The 6,826-nt window shown below is 38.3% G+C and overlaps 1 annotated feature.

Annotated features, from left to right (window-relative positions):
* Window positions 5,419–5,488: a silencer, noted in NCBI's record as "silent region_19567". NCBI's record gives its function as "represses an Ori minimal core promoter by ATAC-STARR-seq in GM12878 lymphoblastoid cells {active_cell/tissue: GM12878}" and the evidence as "EXISTENCE:reporter gene assay evidence [ECO:0000049][PMID:35858748]".

Below are 6,826 nucleotides of genomic sequence, written 5' to 3'. Positions count from 1 at the left end.
AGGCAAGAGAAAGAAATAAAAGATATTCAAATAGGAAGAGAGGAAGTTAAACTGTCTCTGTTTGCAGATGACATGATCCTATATCTAGAACACCCTGTTGTCTCAGCCCAAAAGCTTCTTAAACTGGTAAGCAACTTCAGCAAAGTCTCAGGATACAAAATAAATGTGCAAAAATCACAAGCATTCCTATGCACCAACAGTAGAGGAGCAGAGAGCCAAATCGTGAATGAACTCGCATTCACAACTGCCACAAAGAGAATACAATACCTAAGAATACAGCTAACAAAGGAAGTGAAGGACCTCTTAAAGGAGAACTACAAACCAGTGCTCAAGGAAATGAGAGAAGACACAAACAAATGGAAAAACATTGCATGCTCATAGATAGGAAAAATCAATATCATGAAAATGGCCATACTGCCCAAAGTAATTTATAGATTCAATGCTATTTCCATTAAACTACCACTGAGATTCTTCACAGAATTAAAAAAAAAAAAACTACTTCACAATTCATATGGAATCAAAAAAGAGCCCATATAGTCAAGACAATCCAAAGAAAAAAGAACAAAGCTGGAGGCATCAGGCTACTAACTTCAAACTATACTACAAGGCTACGGTAACCAAAACAGCATGGTACTAGTACAAAAACAGACACATAGACTAGTGGAACAGAATAGAGATGTCAGAAATAAGACTGCACATCTACAACCATCTGATCTTTGACAAACCTGACACAAACAAGCAATGGGGAAAGGATTTCCTATTTAATAAATGGTGCTGGGAAAATGTCTGGTCATATGCAGAACATTGAAACTGGACCCATTCCTTACACCTTACACAAAAATTAACTCAAGATGGATTAAAGACTTAAATGTAAAACCCAAAACTATGAAAACCCTAGAAGAAAACCTAGGCAATACCATTCAGGACATAGGGATGGGCAAAGATTTCATGATGAAAATGTCAAAAGCAATTGCAACAAAAGCAAAGGTTGACAAATGGGACCTAATTAAACTAAAGAACTTCTCCACAGCAAAAGAAACTATCATCAGAGTGAACAGACATCCTACATAATGGGAGAAAATTTTTGCAATCTACCTATCTGACAAAGGTCTAAAATCCAGAATCTACAAGGAACTTCAACAAATTTACAAGAAAAAACAACCCCATTAAAAAGTGGGCAAAGGAAATGAACAGACACTTCTCAAAAGAAGACATTTCTATGGCCAACAAGCATATGAAAAAAAGTTCAACATCACTGATCATTAGAGAAATGCAAATCAAAACCACAATGAGATACCATCTCATGCCAGTCAGAATGGTGATATTAAAAAGTCAAGAAACAACAGATGCTGGCAAGTCTGTGGAGAAATAGGAATGTTTTTACACTGTTGGTAGGAATGTAAATTAGTTTACTCATTGTGGAAGACAGTGTGGTGATTCCTCAAAGACCTAGAACTAGAAATACCATTTGACCCAGCAATCCCATTACTGGATATATATCCAAAGGAATATAAATCATTCAACTATAAAGATACATGCATTTGTAGGTTCATTGCAGCACTATGCACAATAGCAAAGACGGGAATCAACCCAAATGCCCATCAGTGGTAGACTGGATAGAGAAAATGTGGTATATATACACAATGGAGAACTATGCAGCAATAAAAAGGAATGAGATCATGTCCTTTTCAGGGACATGGATGGAACTGGAAGCCATTATCCTCAGCAAGCTAACACAGGAATGGAAAACCAAACACCTCATGTTCTCACTTGTAAGTGGGAGCTGAACAATGATAACACATGGACACAGGGAGGGAAACAACACACACTGGGGCCTTTTGGGGTTGGGTGCAGGGGAAGGGAGAGCATCAGGATAAATACCTAATGCATGCAGGGATTAATACCTAGGTGATGGGTTAATAGGTGCAGCAAACCACCATGGCACATGGTTATGTAACAAACCTGCACATCTGCACATGTATCCTGTGACTTAAAATTAAATTTTAAAAAATTCTGGTAAATTATCTAGCATTTTAGCTGTTTCCTTTATATAAGCCATTTGAATTAACTTTTCCACTGATAAGATATTTCTTGGAGACTAAATCAGGTACTTGTGTGAATATGCTGTTTATTTGGAAGGCATCACAAAATTTTTACTCTGTTCTTTGTTTAATAAAGAAAATGTTGCTAGTTTCCTAGATAAAGCTCTCCTAATATAATTAAGCAATGCACCAAATGCAGCAAGAGTTTAGTTATTCAATAAATATTTATCAAATCCCTACAATCCACCCGGCACCATACCTACTGTTTTCTTGCTTAAAGTATCTTGGGGATATGATGTAATAAAAAACAGTTGTTCTCAATGTTACTGTGTGTAGAATCAGCAGAGTTGCTTGGTAAAAGGCAGATTCTCAAGCTCCTACATGAGATTCTGATTCAGTAAGCCTGGGTGAGGCTAAGGATATGTTTATTACAAATACTCTGGTTGACTCTGATGTAGGTGGGCCATATCAGATCGTGCTGCGAAAAATGCTGGGCTGGAGAAAAGATAATCAGGTGGCTGAATTCTAATCTAGGAATTAGATTACTGTCACTTGCTACTTACTAGTTATATAACTTGTTTTATAATAGGCATCTGACACCTAATATCTGTTCAAGAAATATTTGTTGAATAAATGAGCTTACCTCTGTTTCCTTATCTTCAATATCAAGGTTTGGAAGAAAAACCTGCCATGAATGTTGTGTGTATTAAATTAAGTGGGATACAGCTCACCTTGATATATATTTGTGGCTGAAAAAATGTAACTCTTGGCTGGGCCCAGTGGCTCACGCCTGTAATCTCAGCACTTTGGGAGGCCCATGCGAGCAGATCACTTGAGGCCAGGAGTTCAAGACCAGTCCAGTCAACGTGATGAAACTGTCTCTACTGAAAATACAAAAAGTAGTCAGGTGTGGTGGCACATGACTGTAGTCCTAGCTACAGAATTGCTTGAACCCAGGAGGCAGAGATTGTGGCAACAGAACAAGACTCTGTCTCAAAAAAAAAAAAGTAACTTTTTCTCTGCTTGCTGCAAGTTACTTTCACAGCATATTTTGTTCAGAACAATCAATAATAGATTATTTCTAGAATAAAGCAGTATCAAAAAAGCTGTGCATAGACTTTTGCCTTTTGAGATGATCAAAGGTGACCTTTGTTACACAGACATACCAATAATGTATATTGTAACAAAGTGATTCAAAATGAGATGTCACAATTAAGCTGCAGAAACCACCACCCCAAAGATAACATATGTTGTTTAGTGTGATGATTATTCTTGGTAGAGTTAGGTATAAAAAGTACAATCTTTCCCCCATTATAGTTTGTATTTATTACTGTTAGGCCATGGTTTTATTTCTCTGCAAAATGTCATATATTCTGCAAAATGGAATTTGTAGAGTAACTGATTAGGCAATAAAGCTACCTCCACTGTTAATGGCAACACACATTCTGGAAATATGAGCAAATTCCTGTTGGCTATAGTTTAAGATACAATTTCTACAAATGGCAATTGGAAAATACACAAAAGTGTTAGTAAGGTATATTACCTTGACCTTCTCAGAGTGAGGATATTCTAAAAATGTGAAGTATAAATATTTGAAAATGTTGTTATGATACAAAAAGCCTCTGGCAGAGTCTCTCTGGTATTGCAGAAAGTTGATATATATATATGTATATATACATACACACACATCAACTTTATATATATGATATATATAGATATACATATATCAACTTTATATATATGTATATATATCTCATATATACATATATATATCTCATATAAATGTATATATGAGATATATATCTCATATATAAATATATATATTTATATATAAAAATATATATGTATTTGTGCATTTGCATTTCTCCTTTATTCATGGATCTAGACATTTCTGTTTAGTTATAATCATCTGACATGAGATTTGGAAGGGAATTTATAGATCATCTAACCCAGTGATGACAGACATGAGGCATCATGCCCCCATTCCCCAGTCTGTGCTCATGGCAGATATTGTTAATCAAACTCACATTTCTTTCCAGGCAGATTGTCTGATCATGGATTCCTTCAACACAGGACTCCTGGAAGCCATAATAGAGCAATTAAGTTTGACATGCAATGAAAGTTTGGCCATGCCTTATTTAGATTATGAAAGATCACACAAATGTTAGTGGCAGAATGAGATTTCAATTCTAGGTCTGGCTTTTCCCACTGTGAGCAGCTTTCCTAGGCACATGGACACTGGGAGGGCATGGGCCAGTGAAGAGAACCTGAGGGAGGAGGATCCTTCTTCCACGTTCCTAGCTTTGGCTCTCAATCTAATTCTGCAGTGCGACTTCAGACAAATCACTTCATATTTCTGGGCCTGTAACATTTCATGCCTATGAAGTTAAGGATAATTATCTACCTCCTAGGGCTTTTATGAGCATCAAAGTATGTAATGGATGTGAATGTGTCTTTTATGTTTTAATGTAAGTGAATTTATGTGGTCACAATAAGATGCATCTTCCTAGATCTTCGAGGCAGCCATTTCTTTTCTAGGTGTCTGAGGAATTACGCTTTTAAGTACCAAGTATTTTGCTTTAAACATTTTAGATGAAAGTCTTCCTATAATGGGTTGCAGTTTACTGATCTTTTAGGGAGAACACAATAAACATAATTTGATCTTCTGAATGACTCACTGGCATTAAGAAAATTAACCTTTAAAAGATGATTCCCAGGAATGTACTTTGGCATGTAAGAATGTTGGTCTTCCTACTGACTGGGTCTGAAGAGCTGTGGCTTTTCTGACTTCTTAATGAATTTGTTAAGCTCTGCTTAATGAATTTGTTCAGCCTTCTCTTATATTGTTAACTGGGATTTCTTTTTTTTTCCCCAATCAGATGTCTTCTAGAAGTATCTCTCTCCCCTGAATTGCCTTTTCTACCTTGCTGTGGGTCAATTAAAGAGATAATTAACTTTTTGTAAAAAATTAAATCATGGTCATAATAACAACATTGATATTTCTGTGGTACTTACCATATGCTAGGTCCTCTGCTAAGTGCTTTTGAAGGGTATTTTTTCTTCCTTTTCCCTACAACAACCCTATGAGGCAGGTCAAAATCTTGAAGTCATCCTCAACTCCACTCTTCATCTTACATATAATTATTCCTGTTGGTTCTACTCTCATAATGTATCTGGAATCCAATTTCTTCCTACCATGCTCATAAGCACCACATTGTCCAAACCATCAGTTCTCACATGGCTGCCTACCTGGCCTCCCTGCTTCTGGGCTTCCCCCTTTAGTCTGTTACCAATACAGCAACCAGAGTGATCAGATGAGACACAAATCAGTTCATCTTACTCCCCTGCTCCAGTGCCTGTGAATGTCCTTTCCCCTCTTACCCAGAGCACAGGTCAAAGTACTTACCATGGCCCTCTAAGTCCAGATGTCCTGCTCTCATTTCCTCTTTCACCTCCCCTCTTGTGGTTTCATCAACGTCATCCATATCTGCCTCTTTCTTGTACTTTAAACTCACCCATCTCATTTGGGCCTCAGGGCCTTTGCACATGCTGTGGCCCCTGCTTGGAACATTGTTCCCCCAGGATTCCAATGGCCCACTCACTCCCTGCTATGCTTTAAACGTTTGTGTCCCACACAAATTCATATATTGAACTCTTAACCCTCAAGGTGATGGTACTAGAAGGGAGGTGATTAGGTTGTAAGTGTGGAGCCCCCATGAATGGGGTTAGTGCCCTTATAAAAGAGGCCCATTAGAAATCCTCTGCCCCTTCATGTGAGGACACAGTGAGAAGGCACCATCTATGAGCCAGGAAGCAGCCCTCACCAGACACCAAATCTGCCAGTGCCTTGATCTTAGCTGTCCAGCCTCTAAAACTGTCAGAAATAAATTTGCTATATATAAGGCACATAGTCTAAATTATTTTGTTATAGCAGCCAGAATAGACTAAGATGCTGTGCTTTTCAGGTCTCTGCTCAAAAGCCTGCCTTGGCTATCCATACTCCCTATCCACCTTCCTTGCAGTGTTTCTCTCAATGCATCCACCATCTAACACACAATATATTACTGATCTATTTTATTCATTGCCTCTCTTCCTCTATTTGAACATTGTCTGTTTTGTTCACTACGAAATCTCTGAGGACTAGAACAGTGTTTGGCACTTATTTGAAGCTTCAAATGAATGAATGTATGCATGTACCATTGTTATAAACACACAGAACAGGAAAGTGTGGCTTTGGCAGTAAACTGAAGAGGCAGAGTTGGGATTTGAAAGTGACACCTATAGACTCTAAGATATGTTTGAATTTTTTCCAGAGGGACAGTACATGGGCTGTGGATTGAGGTTCCTTTCTGGAGTCAAATGAATGGGCCACAGGAATGGGAGTATTTGGTTAGTTCTATATTTTCTGTGCATTCAGATTTTTTTCTCCCTTTTGATTTTTAGAATTTCAGGTAAGTGAGATGGCTAGATGCAGTCATTTGTTCTCCCATCAATTTATCAAACCAGTTGTTTCTCAGCAAAGAGACACTGGTGCTTCCTGTGTGCCAGGCGTACGGGAGGTTCCTGCTCTCCTCTTGCTGATGGCCTTACCATGTACTGTGACAAGTTCTCAGCCAGGGTGAACTCAAGATCCTGTGAGGGTTTGTAGACATCTGGTTCCTCCCAGGGAAGCCTGTGGAGGCTCTGAGAATGGGGAAGCCTTGGTCAGTTCCTAAAGATTCCAGCAAAGTCTGACCCTGAGGGTTGCTTGAGGTCAACAGTGCAATACAACAGAAGGCTTGGCA

Source organism: Homo sapiens, chromosome 8 (genome assembly GCF_000001405.40).
Source record: "Homo sapiens chromosome 8, GRCh38.p14 Primary Assembly".
Taxonomy (NCBI): domain Eukaryota; kingdom Metazoa; phylum Chordata; class Mammalia; order Primates; family Hominidae; genus Homo; species Homo sapiens.
The sequence above is the reverse complement of the archived record's forward strand: the minus strand, read 5'-3'. Positions and strand labels throughout refer to the sequence as shown.